Source organism: Homo sapiens, chromosome 6 (genome assembly GCF_000001405.40).
Source record: "Homo sapiens chromosome 6, GRCh38.p14 Primary Assembly".
NCBI lineage: Eukaryota > Metazoa > Chordata > Mammalia > Primates > Hominidae > Homo > Homo sapiens.
Genome location: NC_000006.12, coordinates 31,661,075 through 31,686,879, shown reverse-complemented (window position 1 = coordinate 31,686,879; position 25,805 = coordinate 31,661,075). Strand labels below are relative to the sequence as shown.

General features: G+C 52.1%; 4 protein-coding genes and 1 long non-coding RNA gene across 17 annotated transcripts, besides 2 other annotated features; 2 read left to right on the top strand and 3 right to left on the bottom strand.

The window, feature by feature from the left end:
• Positions 1–29: 29 nt before the first annotated feature.
• On the bottom strand, positions 30–4,028 carry LOC105375019 (uncharacterized). The gene is made up of 3 exons (XR_007059543.1): positions 3,901–4,028; positions 3,516–3,686; positions 30–557 (listed from the first exon to the last, which is right to left on the bottom strand). It is a non-coding gene; the product is annotated as an uncharacterized LOC105375019 (long non-coding RNA).
• A 1,784-nt stretch (positions 4,029–5,812) lies between these two features.
• Positions 5,813–10,196, top strand: LY6G5C (lymphocyte antigen 6 family member G5C). The gene is made up of 3 exons (NM_025262.4): positions 5,813–6,627; positions 7,612–7,779; positions 9,760–10,196. Exons 1-3 carry the CDS (start codon positions 6,507–6,509, stop codon positions 9,921–9,923), a joined length of 453 nt encoding a protein of 150 aa, NP_079538.3. The 5' UTR covers positions 5,813–6,506; the 3' UTR covers positions 9,924–10,196.
• Positions 6,560–6,767: a silencer, noted in NCBI's record as "fragment chr6:31647890-31648097 (GRCh37/hg19 assembly coordinates)". NCBI's record gives its function as "represses an EF-1alpha promoter that drives an FKBP-Casp9 reporter gene in an ReSE screen in K562 erythroleukemia cells {active_cell/tissue: K562}" and the evidence as "EXISTENCE:reporter gene assay evidence [ECO:0000049][PMID:32094911]".
• Positions 10,197–13,333: 3,137 nt separating the features above from the next.
• Positions 13,334–16,904, bottom strand: LY6G5B (lymphocyte antigen 6 family member G5B). Its single transcript, NM_021221.3, has 3 exons — positions 15,872–16,904; positions 15,596–15,724; positions 13,334–15,016 (listed from the first exon to the last, which is right to left on the bottom strand). Exons 1-3 carry the CDS (start codon positions 15,927–15,929, stop codon positions 14,598–14,600), a joined length of 606 nt encoding a protein of 201 aa, NP_067044.2. The 5' UTR covers positions 15,930–16,904; the 3' UTR covers positions 13,334–14,597.
• On the bottom strand, positions 16,813–20,800 carry CSNK2B (casein kinase 2 beta). Of its 2 annotated transcripts, none has more exons than NM_001320.7 (7): positions 20,672–20,800; positions 19,977–20,059; positions 18,910–19,012; positions 18,226–18,341; positions 17,708–17,783; positions 17,372–17,561; positions 16,813–17,044 (listed from the first exon to the last, which is right to left on the bottom strand). In NM_001320.7, exons 2-7 carry the CDS (start codon positions 20,046–20,048, stop codon positions 16,954–16,956), a joined length of 648 nt encoding a protein of 215 aa, NP_001311.3. In that variant the 5' UTR covers positions 20,049–20,059; positions 20,672–20,800; the 3' UTR covers positions 16,813–16,953. The 2 variants fall into 2 exon arrangements, with proteins under 2 accessions (NP_001311.3, NP_001269314.1); NM_001282385.2 differs by having other exon boundaries at positions 17,372–17,552.
• Positions 20,597–25,652, top strand: GPANK1 (G-patch domain and ankyrin repeats 1). Of its 12 annotated transcripts, none has more exons than XM_005249403.4 (4): positions 20,597–21,019; positions 21,877–22,039; positions 22,300–23,027; positions 24,170–25,652. In XM_005249403.4, exons 3-4 carry the CDS (start codon positions 22,402–22,404, stop codon positions 24,612–24,614), a joined length of 1,071 nt encoding a protein of 356 aa, XP_005249460.1. In that variant the 5' UTR covers positions 20,597–21,019; positions 21,877–22,039; positions 22,300–22,401; the 3' UTR covers positions 24,615–25,652. The 12 variants fall into 12 exon arrangements, with proteins under 12 accessions (XP_005249460.1, NP_001186166.1, XP_024302317.1 ...); NM_001199237.1 differs by having other exon boundaries at positions 22,303–23,027; positions 24,170–25,651; XM_006715204.2 differs by having other exon boundaries at positions 20,989–21,785; positions 22,303–23,027.
• Positions 20,998–21,592: an enhancer, noted in NCBI's record as "NANOG-H3K27ac-H3K4me1 hESC enhancer chr6:31633065-31633659 (GRCh37/hg19 assembly coordinates)". NCBI's record gives its function as "activates a minimal SCP1, AML or CMV promoter by ChIP-STARR-seq in naive H9 embryonic stem cells {active_cell/tissue: H9 hESC(naive)}" and the evidence as "EXISTENCE:reporter gene assay evidence [ECO:0000049][PMID:30033119]".
• Positions 25,653–25,805: the final 153 nt, after the last annotated feature.

Below are 25,805 nucleotides of genomic sequence, written 5' to 3'. Positions count from 1 at the left end.
GGGCTTTGGGAAACCCTAACTCTAGACAATCTAGCTAATCTAACCCTTCCCATCTCTGTGTCCCCCTAGGCCTTCAGCCCCTAACCTGAGCTTTCCTCAGGCAGCAGGTCCCCAAACCTCCCCGGTCCCTGATGTGCCTACTGTTATCACAACTGTGCAGCCTCCCTGGCCCCTCCCGCCTCCTTCTTCAGTTCTTCCTGCATACAACCACCCCAGGAGCCCATGGTTGCCCCCTCCTGCTTACGGCTCATGAGCTTTCTAGGATCCGATTTCACCTACCCAGTGCTTCTGCTGGTTTCCAGGTTCAACCTGCATGGTGTTACTAGCAGTACCCCCAATTTTCATTGCTCACCTCTTGTTATCTTGGTGAAGAGTGAGGAAGGGCCTGCTCCCCACGTCTTATGCAGCAAACCCTGCACACCCACCTTGCCATGTCATCAAGTCTCTGTCCTCACAGCCTTTTTGCAGTTCAACAAACACAGGCCCTGCCAGGGACGGAGGGCCAGGTGCCAAGGACTCATGTCTTCTCAGAGCCATACTTTGCCTTTTGGACGGCTCTGTTAGGAGAAGATGCTTAGGTTGTACCTGAGGAAATTGGTTCCCTATAACTGCCATCTATCTCTAACTTTGGACCTTGTGGAACACAGTGAATAAATCCCTCTTCCACCCATTGGTTTGTTGCCTGGCAGTTTTTTTTATTTTTTTGGAGATGGAGTCTTACTATGTTGCCCAGGCTGGAGTGCAGTGGCACAATCTGAGCTTGCTGCAACCTCCACCTCCCAGGTTCAAGTGATCCTCCAGCCTCAGCCCCTCTAGTAGCTGGGATTACAGGTATGCGCCACCATACCCAGTTGATTTTTGTATTTTTAGTGAAGATGAGGTTTCGCCATGTTGGCCAAGTTGGTCTCGAACTCCTGACCTCAGGTGATCCAACCGCCTTGGCTTCCCAAAGTGTTGGGGATTAAAGGTGTGAGCCACTGCGCCTGGCCGCTGGCCACTTTCTTCATTTGGAAACTTCTCTTTTCCAGATGAAAGACCCCAAAGTTTATCGCCCTGAGTCCATTTTTGTTTTGTTTTATTTTGTTGGGGATGGTTTTTTGTTTGTTTTTTGAGATGGATTCTCACTCTGTCGCCTAGGCTGGAGTGCAGTGGCACGATCTCAGCTCATTGCAACCTCTGCCTCCCAAGTTCAAGCGATTCTCCTGTCTCAGCCTCCCAAGTAGCTGGGATTACAGGTGTGTGCCACTACACACAGCTGATTTTTCGTATTTTAGTAGAGACAGGTTTCACCATGTTGCCCAGGCTGGTCTCAAACTCCTGAGCTCAGGCAATCCACCCACCTCAGCCGACTCCATTCTTTTTTTTTTTTTTTTTTTGAGACGGAGTCTCGCTCTGTCACCCAGGCTGGAGTGCAGTGGCACAATCTCGGCTCACTGCAAGCTCCGCCTCCTGGGTTCACGCCATTCTCCTGCCTCAGCCTCCCTAGTACCTGGGACTACAGGCGCCTGCCACCACGCCTGGCTAATTTTTTGTATTCTTAGTAGAGACGGGGTTTCACTGTGTTAGCCAGGATGGTCTCGATCTCCTGACCTCGTGATCCACCCGCCTCTGCCTCCCAAAGTGCTGGGATTACAGGCGTGAGCCACCGCGCCCGGCCAACTCCATTCTTTTGAGCAAGATACTTAACGTGGGCGACAATGTTCTAATGTCCTAGATGGAGTCTCTGGCTAAATTTCTGTGTCTTCTCCAAACCCAGTGCATGAAGCTCTTCTTGAAACCCCAGGGCAGAGGCTGTGTGTGCCCCCATTAGCGCTGCAACTCCTTAAGGGAAGATATACTGAGTCTCCACTGGAAGTGGAGATCTGAGACTTAATCAGGTGATGTGATGCCTGAAATTTGGAGTTAGAAGAGGCAGGTGACCACAGCTCCATAATGCTCCACCGTTAGCAAACAGGTGGATAGCTGATACTGGTGCCCTCTCCTCTATCCCATTCCAGGGGGGCAAACGATGGGAAGTGTGGAACATGAAGCTCTGGAGCCAGCTGCACAGTTCTGAATCCCATCCTCCCAGATCCAACAGAAGAGTTAATCCCCTGAAAACTAAATTTTTGTTCAGCTAAGGGAAGCTCCTTAAATGCAAAGAGGAGCTGGGCATGGTGGCTCACATCTGTAATCCCAGCACTTTGGGAGGCTGGGGCAGGAGGATCACTTGAGCCTAGAAGTTCAAGACTGGACAGGGCAACATAGGGAGACTCCATCAGTACAAAAAATTTAAAAATTACCCAGGCATGGTGGCATGCACCCGTGTTCCAAGCTACTCTGGAGGCTGAGGTAAGAGGATCGCTTGGCTGAGGATCACGGTAGGTTGAGGCTGCAGTGAGCTGTGATCGTGCCACCGGACTCCAGCTTGGGTGACAGAGTGAGACTCTGTCTCAAAAAAAAAAAAAAAAAGCAAATAGGGGTGCCCAGTCTCACCTCCCATACCCTGGGGACAAAGGACACCCCTCCCTGGACATGGCCATTAGGGACTCTGCTGAACTGCCCCTACTGCCACTTTCCCCCATCTTACTGCATGTAATTGTAGACAACAGTGGATGACCTGAGGGGCCCTTAGATACCTGAAATTGGGTAGGGAAAGAAAGGTAGGCTCAACATGTGAATTCTGAACCCCCCCATCCAGGGGCCTCAGCCTACTTCAGATTACTCCCTATGCAATAAGGTTCAGAGCAGCTGTGTTTGTTTTCAGAACTAATCCCCACCCAGGGGTGGAAGCAGGCCCCTGTCCACTCCTCACCCTATATAGCAAAGTTCCAGCAGTTCCAGGGGATGATCAGCAGAGATGCAGACCTTCCCAGTTGCTGGGGCGCTGGACCCTGCTATACTGGACACAAGGTGAGGCCTGAAAGTCCAGGCACCCTGAGGAGCTGGGCAAACTAGCAGAAAAGATGGCGCTGGGAGAAAGGAAAGTTAGACTCTGGACGGGAAATCTGGAAAGAAGTGGTTCCCAGCTGGGCCAAAAAGCCTCATCCTACGCCGTCTCATCGACCTGGGCTCCACCCTGAGTGCCTCCAGTGTGAGGTGCTGGACTGGCTCTGTGCTGCCTGTTTGGGTTGAGGGTTTGCTCCTAGGAGAGGCATGTATTTCTCGTACAGCTGTCACAAGCGAGTGAGGGCTCCGGAGGTGGAGGGCCCAAGAGGGTGGGGAGCTCAGGCGTCAGTGATAGCCAGATTTCCATCCATCGGTCCGTCCGTCCGTCCATCCATCCATCCATCTATCCAATCAACAAGCCATTCCGGATTCTTCAGGAATCCAGTCATTCATTTATATTTAGGTTAAAGACCCTCTCTCTGGTTCCTCTCTAGAACGCAATCTCGAGCCGCTCCCCCAACAAACCGTGGCCCTCTCCCGACCGGGTCATCTACAGCCCCGCCCCTCGTTTGCCTGGCTCCATTCCCCTAACCTTGGCGTTCTGTCCTCAGGCCCCGCCTTCTTTGTTTCGTCACTCGGTTGCTTACCCTCAGGTATCCCTTAACTCTAGGTAGGAGCACTCAGAAGGGACACCGTCATCTGCTGCTGTCGCCATGGCGATTATTCAACGCCCTGCCTCTTCACCCCAGGAAAACCTTCGCGGAACCCGTCACCATGGAAACGAACTCTCTGGACTCTTAGCGCGCCCTGGGCTGGCCCTGCTGGGTGGACAGGAGAGGAGCAAAACGCAACAAAGACGGGATTAATTACTCGGAGGCCGCGCCCCCTCCGAAGAAGGCCCCACCCTGCCCCGGCCTCACCCCTCCCCGAAATAATTCGAGGAAATATTCCGCGAATGCTGGGTGGGTGTCTTGCCCCCCGGTTCCCTCAAGGCCCACGGTCGCTTGAATTCCACAGCAAGTCCTCCCGGACCTCTCAGGGCAATCCCCTCCCGAAGCCCAGCCTCAGCCTCGCAAAGCCTCTAGTCGTTGGCCTTTTCGTTGCGATTATATTCGAGAGGGAGCTTCAGAGGGCGCCGCGAAGTTCCCCTGTGCTTCCCCTTTGCCCTTTGCCCTCTTCGCTTCAAGAGGAGCCCCTGGCTCTCTTTTTTTTTTTTTTTTTTTTTTTTTTGAGACGGAGTCTTGCTCTGTCGCCAAGCTGGAGTGCAGTGGCGCGATCTCGGCTCACTGCAACCTCCGTCTCCCGGGTTCAAGCGATTCTCCTGCCTCAGCCTCCTGAGTAGCTGGGACTACAGGCAGGCGCCACCACTCCTGGCTAATTTTTGTATGTTTAGTAGAGACGGGGTTTCACCATATTGTCCAGGATGGTCTCGATCTCTTAACCTTGTGATCCGCCCAGCTCGGCCTCCCAAAGTGCTGGGATTACAGGCGTGAGCCACGGAGCCCGGCCCTCTGATTCTTTTTGTCTATCACTCTGTGCACTCATTCATTCAAGACATTTATGTAGGTGCCCCGCGTTCCTCTGCAGTTCTCCACTACTCTGGCTTTTCTCTAATACAATTTATTTTGTGTTATTATTTCTTTAAGACAGAGTCTCACTCTGTCGCCCAGGCTGGAGTGCAGTGGTGCGATCTCGGCTCACTGCAACCTCTGCCTCCCAGGTTCAAGAGATTCTCCTGCCTCAGCCTCCCGAGTAGCCAGGACTACAGGCGTGCGCCACCACACCTGGCTAATGTTTTTGTATTTTTTGATAGAGACGGGGTTTCACCATGTTGCTCAGGCTGGTTGCGAACTCCTGACCTCGAATGATCCCCCACCTTGGCCTCCCAAAGTGCTGGGATTACAGGCATGAGCCGCCACGCCCGGCTAATTTTTGGTATTTGTAGTAGAAACGGGGTTTCACCATGTTAGCCAGGCTGGGTGCGAACTCCTGACCTCAGGTAGTCCACCCGCCTTGGCCTCCCAAAGTGCTGGGATTACAGGCGTGAGCCACCGCAGTCCGGCCCTAATATAGTTTTTAAATTCATTCATTCCAAGGCTTTTGGGAGGCGCTCAGTGGCGTGCAGTTTCCTCTCGAATTTCTTTCTTCCCGCAGTCTTTCTGGGCGGGCGTCTCCCGTCTGTTTCTTCCCATCTTCCCCCTTATCATCCTGGGACTGGATAATTCTTGAATAGTCTGGGAGGTAGCAGGGAACCCGAGTTCGGAGCCTCGACCAGAACCTCCAGACGGGAAATTGGAGCAGGTGGTGTCGTTCCAGGACGCTGAGGACCACCTCCTCCCCTAACGCACAGCCCAACGATCCTAAAAGTAAAAACCCTGAGTTTCTGAGTCAAGACTGAGCTGGTGGGGTGGGGACCGAGTAGGCGTGGATGGGGAGCCCAGCGGGTCCCCAGCGGAGAAAATGGGTGAGACGCCTGGGGCCGCGGTCTCCAGAATTCGCCTGGGAGGGAGAGTGGCGCTACGGCGCCGCCTTCCTGGGGAGCCGCTTCGGGCTCCGGATGTCCGCTGGGGCCCGACGCTTGGGTCCCGACGCGCGGTTCGCACTTTCCAGGTTTCTTCCCCAGGGAACAGAGCTTGAGCGGGGGGCCACCCCCCCGTCCTACCGGAGTTCTGAGGTGCGGTCAGGCGCGGAGAGCGGACGCCCAGCGCCAGATTCTGTGGGCTCCGGAGTTCAGGCCCACTGAGCCGCAGCTGAGCACAGGCGGGGCAGGAAAAAGGATGAGGTGAGGGAAGGCGCTGGGTTCCTGGAACCCCAAGGGAGCACTGAGCTGAGTACGTATCGCTTGGGATCCAGGTGTCCTTGTTTTAGGATGTCTGACAGGTGTCCCCAGGGTATGAGAAGTGGGACTGGGCACCCCCTATTTGCTTTTTTTTTTTTTTTTTTGAGACAGACCACATGTTTCCTATCTTGGAAAATGGTACCACTTCCTTGTGCAAGCCTACCCCTGTTCCCTCACCCCTCGTTCAGTCCAACAGCAAATCTGTCCAGTCTTCTAACTGTATCTCAGGTTCATTAGCCCCGCTTCCTCGTCCCTGCTCGTCTTCTGCCGGACCAGTCCGCCATCTTGTGACCGGACTCGGGAATAGCGTCCTACTTCCCGGCGGCCTCCACTCTTGACCCAAATGCAATGTGCAGCCATGGCAATCTTTTATAAACAGAAATCCGATCAAGTTACTCCTCTGCCGAAATCCCTCTGGTCAGTGGTTTAACTGTCGAGGTGCTCCTGGCAGCACTCTGCCCTCCCCACATCATTGCTGGTGGACTTGTCTCCCCTACTAGACTGTGCCCTGTGAGGGTGGAGACTTTGTGCAGGGTTGTATCCCCAGCATCTGATGCAGTGATTCAATAAACATCTGTCCAATTAATAGGAAAGACAGTTCCTTTTCTCATTCCCCTATTGCTGGTCCCCTGCCCTCAAGCAGGATGTTATGCCCCAGAGTGGCTGTGGGTGCGAACATTCTGCCCCTCTGGCTGGTCTGGCACTGATTTCCACCCTGAGCTGGTGTTGCCTCTCTCCTTCCTCTTGGCCAACCTCTCTTCCACCAATATAAGCCCAAACTGGAGGCCAGCAGGCAGTCATGCGTTTTATGGCAGGCCCTGCAGGGAGCCAGAGTCTGGGTCCCCTGTGCTTCCACAGCAGCCCCCAAGCCCTCTACACGGTCCTCTTAATAGTGCTGGTCATGATGAGCTTGGTGTTTGGTAAGTGGCTCCAAGGGTTCAGAAGGGTCTCCTGGCCTGGATGGAGAAACCCACAGACACCAAGTGTCTGGGTACACCTGTCCAGGATGCTCAGGTAAACCCATGCAGGAGGAGAGATGGGACAGATGGGTTTGGTAGGGAATGCCTGCTCATGGACTGATGTGCAATCTGAAGATTTTTAAAAATTTATTATTATTATTATTTTTGAGATGGAGTCTCGCTCTGTATCCCAGGCCGGAGTGCAGTGGCGAGATCTCGGCTCACTGCAACCTCCACCTCCCGGGTTCAAGCGATTCTCATGCCTCAGCCTCCCGAATAACTGGGATTACAGGCATAAGCCACCAAGCCCAGCTAATTTTTGTATATTTAGTAGAGACGGGGTTTCACCATGTTGGCCAGGCTGGTCTCGAACTCCTGACCTCAGGTACCTGCCCGCCTTGGCCTCCCAAAGTGCTGGGATTACAGGCGTGAGCCACCGCACCCAGCCTCTGAAGGAGATTTCTAGTGACCACCCCAGGGCTGTCTCACTTCACAGCAGTGACCTGAATAGAGATACTGAAGGAATCCTCTCTGGATCTGAGGGCAACATAGAATAGGGAGGGTTAGGGAGTGTGCTGGATGAGAAAACCAGAATCCACAGGATAGAACAAGACTGAGTCCAGCCTGCTGGGCTCCCCACTTGGCTGCAAAGCACCAGCCACAGAGACACAGGATTCAAAGTGTTGGTTTAGCACTTTCCTCTGCCTAACACCAAGTGCTCTGCTGGGTCTGGGGATTTGTTAACATGTGGTCTGGCCTTAGGACCAGAGGAAAAGGGGGATGTATGTGTATGCAGTTGGGGAAGGAAGCAGAGAATTGGGGCTTTGATGGTTTTCTGAGACAGGAAGGGAGGGAGGAGTGGGGCTGAGTGGCCTGGAATCAGGCAGTGGTAGGGTGTGAGGTAGAATGGGGTGTGAGTGGGGTCAGCACTTCTCTGTGTTCTAGGTAAGTTTGTTCCTGTCAATTGGGAACCCCCTCAACCACTTCCATTCCCCAAATACCTGCGCTGCTACCGATGCCTCTTGGAGACCAAGGAGTTAGGGTGCCTTCTGGGATCTGACATCTGCCTCACCCCAGCTGGCAGCAGCTGCATCACTCTCCACAAAAAGAACAGTAAGTGGCCTTCTCCTGTCATGGGCCCAGCACTCTCCCAAACGGAAACTCTCTCAGCCTCCTAAGCTGCACCCCAAGTCTTGTTCCCATAATCCCATAAGACATTGCTCCAATCCTGTCTTTTTTTTTTTGCTGCTCTGTCACCCAGGCTGGAGTGCAGTGGCGCAATCTTGGCTCACTGCAACCTCCACCTCTCCAGTTCAAGCAATTCTTGTGCCTCAGTCTCCCAAGCAGCTGGGATTAAAGGTGCACGCCACCACGCCCAGCTAATTTTTTGTATTTTTAGTAGAGATGGGGATTCACCATGTTGGCCAGGCTGGTCTCGAACTCCTGACCTCAGGTGATCCACCCACCTTAGCTTCCCAGAGTGCTGGGATTACAGGCGTGAGCCACCGTGCCCAGCCTCTCTTCCCTTTTCTTCAGAGCCACACTCTGTCTCCACTTCCACTAACCTTCTCTCCTCAATCTGTAGCTGAATAGCTTCTACCCTATCAAGGTGCGCAGCTTTGACGGGGACCCTCCAGATCTCCAGGTGCCCTTGCCTGTCCTCAAGCTGTCTGCTTCCGCATCTGTCTGCAGTTACTGCTGGTGTTGCTCTTCTCCTGCATCCTCCACGGCTTCTTCAGTCTCCTTCATGGAGCGTTTTCTCTCTGACCCTTAGTGGTTCATGTTCACCAAGGTTTGGTCCTTAGCTGTCTTCCCACTTCATATACTCAAAAGCAGAGGATTTTATCTGCTTTGCTGGCTTCAACCAGCAGCCACATACCACTTCCTTCTGAATCTGAATGTTATGTCAAACCGCTCTCCTCATATCCCGTTGACCACTGGACATCTCCCTCGCTGAAAATTGACTCCTTCCCGATGCCTGCTCTTCCACCGACCCCCCACCTTTCTTAAGTTAGCAAAAACGTAACACATAATATGTGCTAGGCACTGTTCTAAACACTTGCAATCCGCTGAGGCAGGTATTATTACTATGTGCATTTTACAGATGAGGAAACAGGTGCAGAAAGGTCATAACCTTGCCTGAGTCTCACAGATGCTGAGCCAGAATTTGTGATGGCTCCAGAGATGGTGCTCTCAACAACCACTGCATGCAGCTGCCTGTGTTCAAGTCCTCTTACTACCCTTTTAACATAGCCGATGCACAGATGTGGGTCAAATATCAGAGTATACAATACCATCAAACCAAAGTCTCCCGCTACTACCCTAACCCACCTGGCTCCCCTGCACATGTGACCACTTTTTTTACTTTCTGGATGATCCCTCCTGCAATCTTTTATGCACATTCCACCCTGCACAAATATGCTGTTTACTATTTTTTCACCTCTTCCCCCGCCCCAACCCAAGATAGTAGCATCCCACTGTAAACATTATTCCACATTTAAGTTAGGGGAACTGAATGTTCCGATATCAGTTTGTAAACAGCTTCCTTGTTTTATTGACCTGCTGTATACTACTCCATAGCATGCGCATATCACAGCTGATTTCCCCATCCCACTATTGATGGGCATTTTGGTCATTTCTCTCAAGCAGGGCAGCAGCAAACATCCCTGAACATGACTTCTTGGGATGCAGGCACAAAGATTTTTCTCTATTATGTATAACAGCAGCAGACATCATCTTATTCTCTTTTGGTCTGAAAAATAAATAACAATACACCTCCTTCCTGCCACCCAATCTCCAAAACATTTCCCAGCTTTTTCTCACATGGTCCTATGGTGCTAGTTCTCCTCACTTGGCTCAGTAACTCCCAACTCCCCCTCCAACCATTACATTTCATATGGCTCTTTTCCTCCAGCCTTGCATGGGAACTTCAGTGGAGTTCCATGGCTGGTGAACACTGGGCATGTCCACCCATGCCTAACTACAGGAATCTTTTCTTTTTCTTTTTTTTTTGACTTATGAGTGTGGGGATGAGAGGATTTGGGGCTCTTCCTGGGGACTTCCGTATCACTGGTGCCCACTGTCCCTCCCCAGGCAGCGGTTCTGACGTCATGGTGAGTGACTGCCGAAGTAAGGAGCAGATGAGTGATTGTTCAAATACCCGAACTTCTCCGGTGTCTGGCTTCTGGATATTCTCTCAATACTGCTTCCTGGATTTCTGCAATGACCCTCAAAACAGAGGGCTCTATACTCCTTAGTGTGACTGCAGCAAACTTTGGTGTAAAATTCCACCAGTTTCCAGCCACCTTCCTGACTTCTATCTGGGCTTGGCCAGGACTTCTAGTCCCTCATACCAGCCCTCCTTGCCTCCCTCCAGCCACTGGACCCCAGCCTTGGCTCTTCCTCTTGGTTGACGCCCTTCAGCACACTTACTGCTACTCTGTACCCCCAGCCCTACTGCCCACCAGGTTTCCTCTCTTGTCCCCTAGTCCCTGGATGTTTCTCCCAAATAAATTTGTGTGTAAACTGTTTGGTATGTCTCTTTCTTCTGGTGGAGGTGAAGGCTGAGGGAGGTGCACCTGCCTAACTGCCCTACCATGGGTCAGGTAAGGGACCCCCAGCTCTGCTGAGCTGTCCTCTTGTCCTGCCTTGGTATGTGATTTGCTCTAGACACAAAAAGAGAAAGAGGAAATGAAAGCCCTCCTATGGTGAATGCCAGAAAGTTAGTGGGCATCCTCGGCAGTGCTGTCAGACCAGAGCTGTGTGGGGGCTAGGGGCGTTTAGAGGGCTATGTTGGTGGGAAGGGGGCTGCGAAAGGACCAGGCCCAGGTAGAAGGAGGTGGGTGAGAAGGCCACTCTTTTTTTGAGACAGTCTCACTGTCACCTAGGCTGGAGTGCAGTGGTGTGATCTTGGCTCATTGCAACTTCTGCCTCCCAGGTTCAAGTGATTCTTCTGCCTCAGCCTCCCGAGTAGCTGGGATTACAAGCACATGCCACCACACCTGGCTAATTTTTATATTTTATTAGTAGAGACGGGGTTTCACCAGTTGGCCAGGCTGGTCTCGAACTCCTGACTTCAAGTGATCTGCCTGCGTTGGCCTCCCAAAGGGCTGGGATTACAGGCGTGAGTCACCCCGAGCCGAGAAGGCCACTCTCAAAGAGATGTTAGACCTTATTGGAGTCCTGGTCTCTTCAATTCTGGGCCAAGTTCTTCAGCCTCTGAGGGTGTCTTCCAGGTTGACCTGCTATAAACCTGGGCCTTTCTCTGTCTTATACTGACGTCAGAGGTCATGGAGAAGGGTGGACTTAGCAAGGTGGGGGTTGGGGGGCACATTAAGGGTTTGTACCTCTCTTTGTACGCCAACTGCCTCATGACTTAATTATCATTGGTTTGGTATTTTCCGTCAGAGTACAGGCCACACAGATTTGTTAACACGTGTGCAAAACACTATATAGGTAAAAGCAGATGCGTACGATGCCATTTCCATCAAGCACAGACAGAACTCATCTAAGCTACTACCAGTCAGGACAGCGGCTACCCCAGAGCTGGGAAGAGCACCTGGGAGAGGGGAACAGAGGCAGGCTTGGCTGCAGGTAAAGGTCTTCACGCTGATTTGGTGGCTGGTTACACAGATGTGTGGTTTACAAAAATCCATCTTGTGATATGTGCAAGCTTCTGAATGTTTTACCAAAAAGGTTTGAAAATAAGTAAATCAGCCAGGTGAGCATGGTGGTGTGCATCTGTAGTCCCAGCTACTTGGAGGCTGAGGCAGAAGAATCTCTTGAGCCCAGGAGTTCAAGGCCAGCTTGGGCAACATAGTAAGAACCTTAGAAAAAAAAGCTGAACATTGTGTATGCATTTGACTCTAGGGCAAATATATTTTTTTGAGGGGGAAAAGGCCTTAACTTCTACTTGTGTATGCACATTTACATGTGTTTTCTCAATCATCTGAGGCACTATCCCTACTTGACAGGTGACCAAGGTGGGGCTGAAGAGACTGACATATCCAAGTGGTAGAGGGGCTGGGATTGGACCTCCCAGCCACAAAGCTGCACTGCTTTTCAGAAAAAGGTTTCATAACCCAAGCACTGGGCTGCAAGACTTGGAAGGGCAGACACCTGGCTATACTCATCTGGGAGTCCTGCTGCTCAATACCAAGCCTGACTCAGAGCAGCGTTATGTCCAGCATGTTTATCCAGTGTATGGAAAAGGCTGTTGTATCCATCCTTGCTTTCTATACGTTTGCACTATTTCAAAATTAAAATATTAGCATGAAGATCCAACCACTGCAGCCCAACATCAGTGCTCTCAGCACTTTGCCCCTCAAATTGGGCCCCTCGAGAGGGCATCCTGGATGCCAGAATCCTTGAAAAGAACTAAGGAATGGCAGGAGTCCAGGGCCCCAGCAGCAGGTAACTCTGGCATGTGGCTCTGAGTTCCTGAGTCTTTCTGGTTTAAAGAGAAAGTTTCTTTTTTTTTTTTTTTGGAGACAGTCTCGGTCTGTCACCCAGGCTGGAGTACAGTGGCACGATCTCGGCTCACTGCAAACTCTGCCTCCCAGGTTCAAGCGATTCTCCTGCCTCAGCCTCCTGAGTAGCTGGGATCACAGACACGTGCCACCATGCCCAACTAATTTTTTTTTTTTTTTTTTTAGTAGAGATGGGCTTTCACCATGTTGGTCAGGCTGGTGTCGAACTCCTGACCTCATGATCCGCCTGCTTCGGCCTCCCAAAGTGCTGGGATTACAGGCAAGCCACCGCGCCCAGGCTTTTTTTTTTTTTTTTAAGACAGAGTTTCGCTCTTGTTGCCCTGTCTGGAGTGCAATGGCGTGATCTCAGCTCACTGCAACCTACACCTCCCCGGTTCAAGCAATTCTCCTGCCTCAGCCTCCCAAGTAGCTGGGATTACAAGCATGAGCCACCATGCCCAGCTAATTTTTCATATTTAGTAGAGACAAGATTTCACCATGTTGGTCAGGCTGGTCTCAAACCCGACCTCAGGTGATCCACCCACCTCGGCCTCCCAAAGTTCAGGGATTACAAGCATGAGCCACCGCACCTGGCCTAAAGTTTCTTTTCTTAGGTGAAAAGACCTGGCATCATCAGGGTCTAACTTTCCAGGTTTTGTAGGGTATGTTTAAGGCTGGGAAGAATCACAGTCCCCATGCTTTGATCTCCAGCTAAGCAGAGGGTGGGGAGGGATGTGTGCCCTTTACAGGAGGCCGAGAGGAAGCGACAAACGCCAAGTGCAATGGAGAGGGCTCTGCAATCCTATTTGGATCCCAAACCTCACTAACCCTTTTTTTTTTTTTTTTTTTTGAGACACAGTTTCACTCTTGTTGCCCAGGCTGGAGTGCAATGGTGCAATCTCGGCTCATCGCCACCTCCACCTTCCAGGTTCAAGTGATTCTCCGGCCTCAGCCTCCCGAGTAGCTGTAATTACAGGTATGCGCTACCAAGCCCGGCTAATTTTGTATTTTTAGTAGCGATGGGGTTTCTCCATATTAGTCAGGCTGGTCTCAAACTCCCAATCTCAGGTGATCCGCCTGCCTCAGCCTCCCAAAGTGCTGGGATTACAGGCGTGAGCCACTGCGCCAGGCATTAACCCTCTTTAATCTGTGTTTACCTGCCCACACCTGAGCCTGACCCCACAAACAATGTGACACAGTTTTAGCCCAGTCCCAGTTTATTGTGGAGGAAAATGGGGGACATGGAGCTGAGCAGAACAGACCCTTCCCTCTCCTCTCACAGGCCCCTAGGGAGATGGGTGTCAGGACTCAGTGAAGTGAAATGGGGCCGAGGAAGCCAGAGACTGACAAGAGAGCAAGAGAGGACAGGAGGCAGAACAACACTAGGACAGGCGGGGGTTGGTGGAGACAGTGAGGCAGGGACACAAAATTGCCAAGTCAGGACATCTGCACAGAATTCTATTCCTCATCCTTTTTTTTGGAGACGGAGTCTCACTGTGTCACCCAGGCTGGAGTGCAGTGGCGCGATCTCGGCTCACTGCAACCTCTGCCTCCCGGGTTCAAGTGATTCTCCTGTCTCAGCCTCCTGAGTAGCTGGGATTACAGAGGTGTGCCACCACACCCAGCTGATTTTTCTATTTTTAATAGAGAGCGGGTTTTACCATGTTGGCCAGGCTGGTCTCAAACTCCCAATCTCAAGTGATCCGCCCACCTCGGCCTCCCAAAGTGCTGGGATTACCGGCGTGAGCCACCATGCCCGGCCTCCTCGTCCTTCTTGCTGCTAGTTCAGTCTGGTACTGGGTCTTAGAGACATGGACAAGACAGGGGAAACAGAGCTAGATGTCAATAGGCAGGTGACTGGATTGAGAGGGATGGGGGATACTGGAACACTCAGATGATGGGGAAGGAATGGAGGAACCACTGTGCCTTTCTCAGGTCAGCCTGTCTGGGCAGAATCCACACTAGAGATTCTTTTCTAGGGGGAAGAACAGCACCAGAGCTCAGACAGGCACAGTGGCTCACACCTGTAATCCCGGCACTTTGGGAGGTCGAGGAGGGCAGATTACGAGGTCAGGAGTTCGAGACCAGCCTGACCAACATGGTGAAACCCCGTCTCTACTAAAAATACAAAAAATTAGCCAGGCGTGGTGGTGCACGCCTGTAGTCCCAGCTACTCGGGAGGCTGAGGCAGGAGAATCGCTGGAACCCGGGAGGTGGAGGTTGTAGTGAGCAGAGATCATGCCACTGCACTCCACCCTGGGTGACAGAGCGAGACTTTGTCTCAAACAAACAAAAAAACAGCACCAGAGTTCAAGAGAGAAAATTACACAAAAGTCATATAGATGCTAGTGGTACAACAGACGGAGGCCTAAGAAATCACAGTGACCAAAGAATGTGGGTGTTTTCAGAGAGGGCAGTGCAGGATGCTGAGGGTGTTACAGAAAGATATTTGCACTGTGGAATTCAGGAAGGGTGAGGTGTCAAGAGTCCAGCCTGGGGAAGAACCAAAAGTCCTGAACTATTGAGGAACAAGTACATGCGGCGCAGCTCAGCAAAAGACAAGCCCAGGTTCAGGGACAGTGTGACCATGGGGTCCAGGCCATCAGGCTCCGTCCCAGCATGGAAATTGGGGAGGGGCAGGGAGAGGTTCAGGGCCTGGTAGAACCACTGAATCTGGGAGTCAGACAGAGGCAGGGCCAGGGGCCTGTCATGGGGCTCCGGCAGAGAGCTCTGGAGTTGGGGGCTTGACCAGGAGTTGCAATAATCGTACTGACAGCACTGGGCCTGATACCAGTACTCTGCAAAGTAGGTGTTGCGTTTTTCTTGGCAGCGGTAGGAAATGTACTGTCCACAGCCTCGAACGATGAAGCGAACCTTGACATCTGAGGGAGAGGGGAAAGCTGATAACCCCTTCCAATAGCTTCCCATAGTCCAAGAACCCCTGCTACTGACTTTTCCCATCCTTCACCCAGACCTAATTTACTTCTAACCCAGAGTCCTTCAAGAGGCTAGAAAAGTGAGCTCTGCTGGCCCCCTAGAACCTTAGACCCCTCCTTCCAAGATTCTTCTGGTTTTTTTTGAGACAGGGTCTAGCTCTGTTACTCAGGCTGGAGCATGGTGGCGCAATCTTGGCTCACTGCAACCTATGCCTCCTGAGTTTAAGAGATCTCCCACCTCAGCCTCCCGAGTAGCTGGGACTACAGGTGCATACCACCATGCCTGGCTATTTTTTTGTAGAGACAGGGTCTCACTATGTTGCCTAGGCTGGTCTTGAACTCTAGAGCTTAAGTGATCCACCTGCCTCAGCCTCCCAAAGTGCTAGGGTTACAGGCATGAGCCATTGCACTCAGCCCCTCCTCTCTTCTTGTACCCCATGCCCGGAGCAGCCCTGATCTGTGAGAGGAGAGAAGACCAAGCCATTGGCTGCCCCACCAGCAGCCCCTTCCTGGGACCTTATTTACCATAATAGATGGTGATCACCATGCACAGGGATGAGCTGCTGATGGTACACTTCTCTGAGCCTGAAATGCATCCTACAGAAGGGTCTTCTACGAGGCAGAAGTGGCACGTCCGGATGTCGGGAACAGGAACTGGGGAGGCAGAAGGAGGGATGGAGGCACTGGGTCACTCTCAAATACCCTGGGCCAGTAGGAAGCCCGATTATCCATGGCCACGCTCCACCCCCTTCCTGGACTCAGTTACCCCTTCCTCCCTCCCTGCCCCTGGGCCCCACTTACCCTTTCCTACTGTGAAGCCCACCATGACCAGCACACCTACAAGCATATGGACCTTCATTTTGGAATTCTGGGGAGATGGGCAGTTCCTGAGGGGATGCCCTGAAACCCCACCTTCCTGTGACCATGCTCCTTAATCCTAAGCTGCAGGGTGGTTTTGACAAGGTCTGAGCAGGAGCTGCTGTAAATGCAGAGCTATATTCCTACTTGGGGCAGGATCCTGGCTGGGAAGGAAGTTATTACTTGGCAGGAGGGACAGCATGTCCTCACCCACAACGTCTGGTTCCTGAGTGTGGGAGTAATGGCCCAGATGGGGTAATACCTGGGCACTACCGGGTTCTTTATCCAGTGTCTACCTTTGTCTTGCATACCCTCCAAAGACCTATTCCCTCCCTTGGAAAGTCCATGGGTTAGTATCTATCTCTGCCACCATGTGCTGTCTTCGTCATACAACAGGGCCAATCCCCACTGTGCTGGGACAACCTGGCCAGGAAATCAAGCATCCCCATCCTTCTGAGATGAGCAGTCTCAGCTCCACCAGCGGCAGGCACACACACATCACTGAGCAGCAATTCCGGACCTTGTCCCACCTCGTTCCACCCTTTAGTTATACTGACTTTAGGCTACTTTTCCTTTAGAACTAAAACTAAAAGATGGAGCTGCTGATTAAGCCCCTTACAGTATAAACAGACAGTCATAGATATCCAAACAAATATTTCTCATCTTTGAAATATGCTTTGTCTTTTCCTTTTGACCTTGCATTTCATCACACGCAGTCCTAGGAATTCTGTTCTGCTCCATACTAAAAACACCACCCAATCCACTGAGCACAAATCTGTCCTGGTTTTCAATCTGGGGAGGGTGGGCTGGGCCATGAGGGCCCCTGGAGTCCAACACACCATCACCTTCCCTTCCCCAACAGCAAGCACCAGCAGACTAGCTCATGGCCTTTTCTTCTACTTTATTTCATATTCCCACCACGATAACGACTCCTTTAATTTAAACTAAAAACCATACAGGGTTCCTGAAAGGGTGGCAAAAAAGAAAGGAAAAGTCAAAGACTGCAGGACAGGTGGGGGAGGGAATCAGCGAATCGTCTTGACTGGGCTCTTGAAGTTGCTGGCGGCTTGGAGCTGCAGCTGGTAGGCCATCGGATGGATCTTGAAACCGTAGAGCCTAGGCCAGGGCAGAGGTCAGAGAGGCAGCAGCATGAGCCCCATCCAGGCCCTGCCAGTCACCTGCATTCCCACCTCCCCACCTGAGCTCCTCTATGGACCTGCTCAGAGCTAAAGCCTCGTGGTTCCCAACTTCTCAGCTCAAGAACATTCTACAATAAGGTAACTCAAGCACAGATAATCAAATAACTTTCCCACAGTCACTCAGCAGGGAGATGCCCTGATTCTGGGAGAAGCAGACCTCAAGAAAGGGCCATGCCCTGTCCTCCCCTCTCTGGGGGATCTTGGGCCTTTCCTTTGACCCTTAATGACTCTCCCTGCTCCCTACCTGGGCACAAACTGGTTGGCAGGTCTCTTGGGCCGGTACTCGGGATGCACCATGAAGAGCATGTGAGGGAAACCAGTGCCGAAGTAGGCGCCATCCGTGTGATGGTGTCTTGATGACTTGGGTGTGTACACATCCATGCACTTGGGGCAGTAGAGCTTCACCATGGCTTCACCTGGGATGTCTGAAAGGCCTGGGAGACAGCCAGACTCAGCAGGCCAGGTATCCCCCTATTCCTACCTAACCTCCCCTCAGGACTCAGGCTCCAATGTGTTGAGCCCCAACTCCTTCCCATAAGACTGCCACACGGTGCTTTCCTTTCCCTTCTTCAACACTCACCAATGGGAAGCATTGGCTGGTTCTCACAGTACACACGAGGACAGTAACCAAAGTCTCCTTGCTGGTACTTTTCCAACTGAGGTGAATACAATGGAAGGGGTTGGCAGGTAGATGTAAAGAAGAGGCAACTCCCTTCGCAGCCCAACCCATACCACTCTGTCCCCCACTCCTCCCACCTCTGTCCAGAGGCCCCTTCTCTGGACTAGATGGGCTCTCAAACTTCTGTGTTGCCTTTCTTCCAATTAGGCAGGCTACAAACCATCAGAGCCATTTGTTGTTTGTTCCTTGAGGAAGAGGCAGTCTATCACAACTCTCTGATTCAAGGTCTGTCTCCCTCCCTGAAAACAATCCCTTCAGGATGACCCCCAATCAGAATTCAATTCCCAGGCCCAAGTTCTGGGGTTCTTCCCCTCTTCTCAGCTAGCTTCCTTAAACAGGGCTTAAACATGACTTCTTGCTGCAGGAACCTGTGTCTCTTACTGCTCAGAAGGAGGCAGGTAGGAGCAGAGAGGCCTCACCATCTGGGCGATGCCACGGTTGGTAAGGATGTAGCGGGCGTGGATCAATCCATAAAGCATCTCGGCTGCCTGCTCAATCAGGTCACTCTGGTTGGGGTTGTCTTCCAGTTCTTCATCTGAAACACAGCCCGGCCAAATGCAACTACTTGTTTTTCAGCTTTCCTAGGTGCCCTGCCCATATCCAGGGGCTGCGGGCTATTCAGTTTGCCTAGCACCTACTTTTGGGCCTTACCCCATCCAACATCTGGGCATGGGACCCAGAAACCTGGGCTTCTGACCCTTGCATCAAACGAAGACAGCTCTGCCTTCCCTTCACACCTTTTCAGCCTCTGCTCCTTGCTCTCCCTCCCAACTCCCTCCTCAATACATAACTGCAACAATGTCAATGCAGAAGATGAAATTCTAGACTGGAAGGTGCAAAGCAGGAGAAACAGACAACAAACCAGACCCATGAGGAAACGCATTTTGGAATAGGTCTGAATTGCGGATTTAGAAAACATGAGAACAAGTGATATACGTCACAAAACTAGACAAGAGTCAGGTGGAGGATCAAAATAAAGCATGAATTTGGGGTTAAAGAAATCAGAGAACCAAAGGAAATTTCAAAATTCAGGCAAGTGAATAGAGATTTGAAGAGAAAAATAGTGCACGCACACACACAAAACAACCCTGAGGGTGCCTCACCAGGCTCCAGGTCCAAGATCATGTCTAGAGCTTGTCGATAGTGAGGGACCTGCTCATTGAGTCCAGTAAGATTAAATTTGTCCTGGATGTAGTCTTCATCCACCTGTCAGGACATGGAAGCCAAGAGGGAACCCATATCAAAATCCTCATCTTTGACCTGGGCAAAATGCTCTAAGTGATGCCTTATCATCAACACAACTGCATCTGTTGTGCTTGTTTCTCACTCCCAACTCAGCAGAAGTACTTGTGTCTCTCCCTAGTTCACCTACACTCTCTCCCATAAAAGCTTTGGCTTTTCTTTTCTAAGGATAAGTAGATACAGCAATCTTTTTCTTAGACATTCTTTTCAAGATCTTTGTCCCTACTCCACTCCTGTATCCCGTCTCTAGGAACCAGTTTTGTCCTCTCAGCTGGCTAAGGAAGGTGGAAGCTGAACAGCATGGTTTCTGAACAAAACATTTCAATGTGTAGCATTTCAGTTTTCCTAAAGGCCACCTGAGACAAGTACTAGCAGTGCCACTTTAGTAACAAAAGATACAGGCCGGGCGCAATGGCTCACGCCTGTAATCCCAGCACTTTGGGAGGCCGAGGCAGGCAGATCACCTGAGGTCTGGAGTTCGAGACCAGCCTGGCCAACATAGTGAAACCCTGTCTCTACTAAAAATACAAAAATTAGCCAGGCATGGTGGCAGGCACTTGTAATCCCAGCTACTTGGGAGGCTGGAGCAGGAGAATCGCTTGAACCTGGGAGGCAGAGGTGGCAGTAAGCCGAGATCGCACCACTACCCTCCAGCCTCGGTGACAGAGTGAGACCCAGTCTCAAAAAAAAGAAAAAGACACAAATTGACTAGCCCAACGTTATATTGCTGGACGGTGGCAGACTCAGGACTTGGGCCCCAGTTTTGCCACTTTAGCACAGGTTCGTCGGGGTTTATAGGGGGGACTCTTTGCTGATAGGAAGTTTTCAAATAGCATGTAAGAGAACAGTGCAGAAGTGGAATATGTGAAGGAACGTCTGGTGGGAAGATATGTGAAGCTGGCAAGTAGGGAGGTTGAAGAGAACTCACTTCACAGAAGAATTCATTGCCACGGAGCCCACAGAACCAGGAAATCCAGGACACCTCCTCTGAGCTGCTCATCTTCACGTCAGCTAGAAAAAGAACAGTGTCAGTAAAGCTCAAGTTCTCCTTCCCTGCCTCTGGTATCCTCCCTCCTCCCACATTCGGCCCTCCAACCACGGGAGAATTCGGAACCACCCTTTCTTAAAGCAACCCAAACTCTGAAGCACTCCTCTCCAGCTCCTCTAATTTACATCTCAGCCCCTTTTCTTTGAAGTTAAACATTCTTTGGGGTCCCACCACTTGAAAGAAGCCAACAGATACTTTGACCCACCAGCCCGACCCACATCCCTGGAGCTCCCGAAGGCCAGGGCCCTCTCTCCTCTGTGTCAACTCCGGCAGGGACCTCGACTCAGGCTCCCTACCAATACAAGTCTCTGCATGACCCCCACGCCTTTCCCAAGGGTTTCCAAGTTTATCATTCTCAAGCAAGAACTGGGCTCCTCCTTTTCTCACGGGTTGGGGGCGATTGTCAGGTCCCTTTCACCGGAATCCACACATCCCCCCTCCGCTCCTCAGGCCACCTCTCCCTCCTTCGTGCCGGACCTGGTCGCTTCCTCCCCCGCCCCCACATCAAAGTCCGGAGACCCCATGTGCCGCTCCCAGCGACAAGGGACTCGGAGCAGCGACGACTTCAGACTCACCGGCTGGACGGGGACCAGGACTGGGGTGGGGTAGGGAAGTTGCTACTTCCAGGGAACGGCGGCGACCGCTACAGCGCAGGCCGCGGACCCGACCGCGGCAGGCGAAGTGGGGTGGGGGGAGTGGAAATTAGGGAGGGTGGGGAAGAGGGCAACACGCAAGCGCCAAGGGTCAGGTGCCGCGGTGGATGCCGGGACACGGAGTCCCCGGTAGAGAAAGAAACTGGCTAAATGAGAGAAAGCGAACTACCAATCCCAGGATGACCCGCGCACGACCTGGCTGTCACGAAGGCCCGGAGGAGGGCGCTTGCGGGCGGGGCACAACGAGAAGCCACCGGAAGCGGAAGCCAGGTATGGCGTTCGGGGCCCGGGAGTCTGGGCAATACAGTTTTGTGCTCACTGGGTGAAGAGGCTGACTTAGGGCGGGGAAAGGAGGGAGCCAGGCTGGATCTCTTTCCGCAGCTCTCCTCACGTTCCCCTCTAGTCCCGGCGCGGCGCTGCTGCCCAGGGGACTGGCCTATCCTCGGCCAATCCGCTGGGTCCTTATTGCCTGTTGGGCCCCTAGTGCGAATCAGTCCCGCCAGAGACCCTTGACGGGCATACTGTTTCCTCCGGGCTCCTGCCTCATGAGGGGAGAGGTGCGGCTTGGCTCCGTGCGTAGGGACTTGGGTGGGGTGGGGTGGGCGGTGTGAGAACTGGAACGTCCCAGTGCGCTAACCTGAGGTGGTGCCAGCCATTCTGCTCGTCCCTTTGCACTTCTCCATTTCCCCTTAGGCTCTAAGTGTGACCTTCGAACCCTGGTCAGAGTAATGGTGAGGGGCAGGCGTGACGTTATTTCATTACACGGCTTCTCGGCATTCCACAGGTTTCCCTCCGCCTCCTGAGGGCCTTTCCTAACCCACAGAGTGGATTCCTGGCTCCAGAAAATGGGCTTGGAGCGGGGGCCACGTTGAGGAAGGCGAAGGGCATTGTGGGGGCGTTATGTAAAAGTAGGACCCCAACCGACAGATCCTAGTGCTCGCGCCACCTGGGCGCGCGGAGCTTTGCTCGTTTACTATTGAAAAAGTTCCAGCGCGGGAAACTGAACCCGGAGCTTTGCGCACGCCCGAGCCCTCAAGTAATGTGGGTTGTGGTTTTTGTTGTTGTTGTCGCCACGCATGCGTCTTCGTGCCGTGTGGCTATTTGATTGTGTCAACTCTTCTGATTAGAATGGCGCCATTTTGCGGTACGGAAGCTACACAGCAACACGTATAGGAGACTCTCCCCGAGATCTTCTAGGGAGTGACCCATCTATTTTTGTTTGGGAAGAGGAAACTCCGAAATGGGATCGCGGAAGACTTAAAGGGCCAGGCTGATTTTTTTTTCCTACTGGTATGTCTTACGGGGTGGGAAAGTGGTTTCAGAAAGAGGCTGGTGTTTATTGTTGGTGAGGATGGGGGTGGGGGCCGGACGCAGGACCTCTGGACAACAGTCTCATGGAGTTTTATTAATCTTTACTAAGGAGCAAAGTCGGTATTGTAGGGTTCCATGTTTTTACGCAAAGTCTCTCTCCCTTAGGCCCTGCAGAGTCCTAAGTTGTGGGGTTACTTTAGTGGCAGGAAAGTGTTTTTGACTACTTTTTCTCATCCCAGCAGGTCTCTGAGGCTGTGGTTGCTACAGGGTCACCACGAGCTTGGCTTACTTGTCTCATCCTTCCCTTGCCTGGTATCATTTTCTCAGTTCTCCCAAAAGCCATGTCCCGGCCCTTGCTCATCACCTTCACCCCAGCCACTGACCCCAGCGACCTCTGGAAGGATGGGCAGCAGCAGCCACAGCCCGAGAAGCCAGAGTCCACCCTGGATGGGGCTGCAGCCCGAGCTTTCTATGAGGCCCTGATTGGGGATGAGAGCAGCGCTCCTGACTCCCAGAGATCTCAGACTGAACCTGCCAGAGAAAGAAAGAGAAAGAAAAGAAGAATAATGAAGGCACCAGCAGCAGAAGCAGTGGCAGAAGGAGCATCAGGAAGACATGGACAAGGGAGATCCCTTGAGGCTGAGGATAAGATGACTCACCGGATACTGAGGGCAGCCCAGGAGGGGGACCTGCCAGAACTTAGGAGACTGCTGGAACCGCATGAGGCAGGAGGAGCTGGGGGGAATATCAACGCCCGGGATGCCTTCTGGTGGACCCCACTGATGTGTGCTGCTCGAGCGGGCCAGGGGGCAGCTGTGAGCTATCTCCTGGGCCGTGGGGCTGCCTGGGTGGGGGTCTGTGAGCTGAGTGGCAGGGATGCGGCTCAGCTCGCTGAAGAAGCTGGCTTCCCTGAGGTAGCCCGCATGGTCAGGGAGAGCCATGGAGAGACAAGGAGCCCGGAAAACCGGTAAGGGGAAACTTTAGCTCAGACCCATGTCTCATTGTGTTCTGCCTCTCCCAGCCACACCACACCAGACGCCCCAGCACAGTGCTGAAGAGTTCTTTCCTTATCCTCATGTGTAGGTTGACAGGGTAGTATAGTCAAGTGGTTATAAACATGAGCTCCCTGGATTTAAAGCCTGATTCCACTTACTTGGGCAAACAACCTAATGTCTACATGTTCCAGTTTTCTCATCTTAGAAATGGGGGTAGTAAGAATTGTTGTTAGGATTCAATGGGTTAATATATGTAAAATGCTAGAATAGTGCATGCCGCATAGTATGCAATACATGAATGTTAGCTATAGTCATTATGACTAATGTCCCTCCCCTTGCCCAAGAGTTTGCTAGGTCTGGTTACCATTTTTTTCTTTCAACTATTCTGCTCTGGATCCCACAATGGTTTAAAGAAATTTGTTTTTAAGACAAGTCAAGTGCAGTAGTGAGAAGGAGGGGAAAAGTGGAGTAAGGAGTTTGATCTGTAACTGAGTGAACAATTAATTCAGATAACTCACCACCACCTTTGGACCAGCCTGGATCCCTCACTGTTAAGTAGGAAGGAAGGCAATTTGTCCCTTTTTTTTTTTTTTTTTTTTTTGAGACAAAGTCTCACTCATCTCACTCTGTCGCCCAGGCTGGTGTGCAATGGTGTGATTTCAGCTCACTGCAACCTCCGCTTCCTGGGCTCAAGCATATTTTTTGTAGAAAGCAGGCTTTGCCGGGACATGGTGGCATGTGCCTGTAATCCCGGCTACTTGGGAGGCTGAGGCAGGAGAATCGCTAAGGTGGAAGTTGCAGTGAGCCAGGATCATGGCACTGCACTCCAACCTGGGCAGCAGAGCAAGACTCCATCTCAAAAAAAAAAAAAAAAAAAGCAGGCGTTGCCATTTTGCCCAGGCTGGTCTCAAACTCCTGAGCTCAAAGCCATCTGCCCGCCTCTGCCTCCCAAAGTGTTGGGATTACAGGCGTGAGCCACTATGCCTAGCTGGCAATTTGTTCCTTAGCAGAAAAGCTGAAAAGATCCTATTCTACCCTGCCAGCCCCCTCTGAGGCCTCAACTCTTCCCCTTTTCCTTCCCCTGCCCTTAATGCTTTTTCTTCTTTCTCTGCAGGTCTCCTACTCCCTCCCTCCAGTACTGCGAGAACTGTGACACCCACTTCCAAGATTCCAACCACCGCACATCCACTGCTCACCTGCTGTCACTGTCGCAGGGTCCTCAGCCTCCCAACCTTCCACTTGGGGTGCCCATCTCCAGCCCGGGCTTCAAACTGCTGCTGAGGGGGGGCTGGGAGCCAGGAATGGGGCTGGGACCCCGGGGTGAGGGCCGTGCCAATCCCATCCCCACTGTCCTCAAGAGGGACCAGGAAGGACTAGGCTACAGATCAGCACCCCAGCCCCGAGTGACACATTTCCCAGCTTGGGATACCCGAGCTGTGGCTGGGAGGGAGAGACCCCCTCGGGTGGCCACACTGAGCTGGAGGGAGGAGAGAAGGAGGGAGGAGAAAGACAGGGCTTGGGAGCGGGATCTAAGGACTTACATGAACCTCGAGTTCTGACTTTGGTAAAGTCTGACCCTAGTCTGCTGCTGAAGTCTGAACTTGGGCCTCTGACCTGGGCCCTTTGACTTCCCCTTCCTGGGATCTGCTCAGATGCAGATCCTGAAGTTTTTGGTCAATAGGCTCTGTCTTCGTGAGAGACGGGCTGAGAGTCAGAAATAAATCAACCATTTGTGGTTTATTCACTTTTCTGGAAGCTATTTTGAGGAAGCCAAACAGAAGCCTGGGAGCCACATGCAAGTCCCACCTGAGTCAGAAGGGGCAGCCTCTCCAGGTGGCATGATAAGGTCACCTCCCTGCCAATCTGGGTTCACTTTCAGGTCCCAGACCCTCCTGGGAGTCCCCCACCTATTCTTTCAACCCCCCTGGACCAAGAATTGCCCAGCTTCGTGCAAGTCTCACTTCCCCCAGGAGGAGTTCCCTGACTACAGCCAATTCACTGATTTCACAAACATAAGTCCATATACTATGTGCCAAGAATACAGGTAAAGACATTCCCAACCCTCAAAGAGTTCACAGCTGGAGAGGGAAAGTGCCATGTTATCAATTTTTTTCTTTTTTTTTTGAGATGCAGTTTCGCTCTCATTGCCCAGGCTGGAGTGCAATGGCATGATCTCGGCTCACCACAACCTCTGCCCCCCGAGTTCAAGGGATTCTCCTGCCTCAGCCTCCCCAGTAGCTGGGATTACAGGCATGCCCCACCACGCCCAGCTAATTTTGTATTTTTAGTAGAGACGGGGTTTCTCCATGTTGGCCAAGCTGGTCTTGAACTCCCGACCTCAGGTGATCCGCCGGCCTCGGCTTCCCAAAGTGCTGGGGTTGCAGGCATGAGCCACCACTCCCGGCCCATGTTATCAAATATTATAATGCAGGGTGATAAGGGAAGTCAAGGCCTCTAGAGATGAGAATGGGTAGGGTTTTGCTGGAAGAGGCCAGTGTGATAGGAAGGCCCACGATTATCAAGCTTGTACACTTAGTTGAACTGGGACCAGAACTCTAGCCCCCAAATCTAAACTTTAAACTTCTTTGTTCCACCCATTTGTCTACACTTTTCTTTCCCACACTTCCCCACTCTCCCACCACCCACCCCCTTGTCTTGCTCATGCCGGGTGGTAGGCACAAGAAGAGCTCACTGTTGTGAAATCCAGGAATTCAAATTTGCAGACGGGCAGGGGAGGGCTGTTCAAGTCG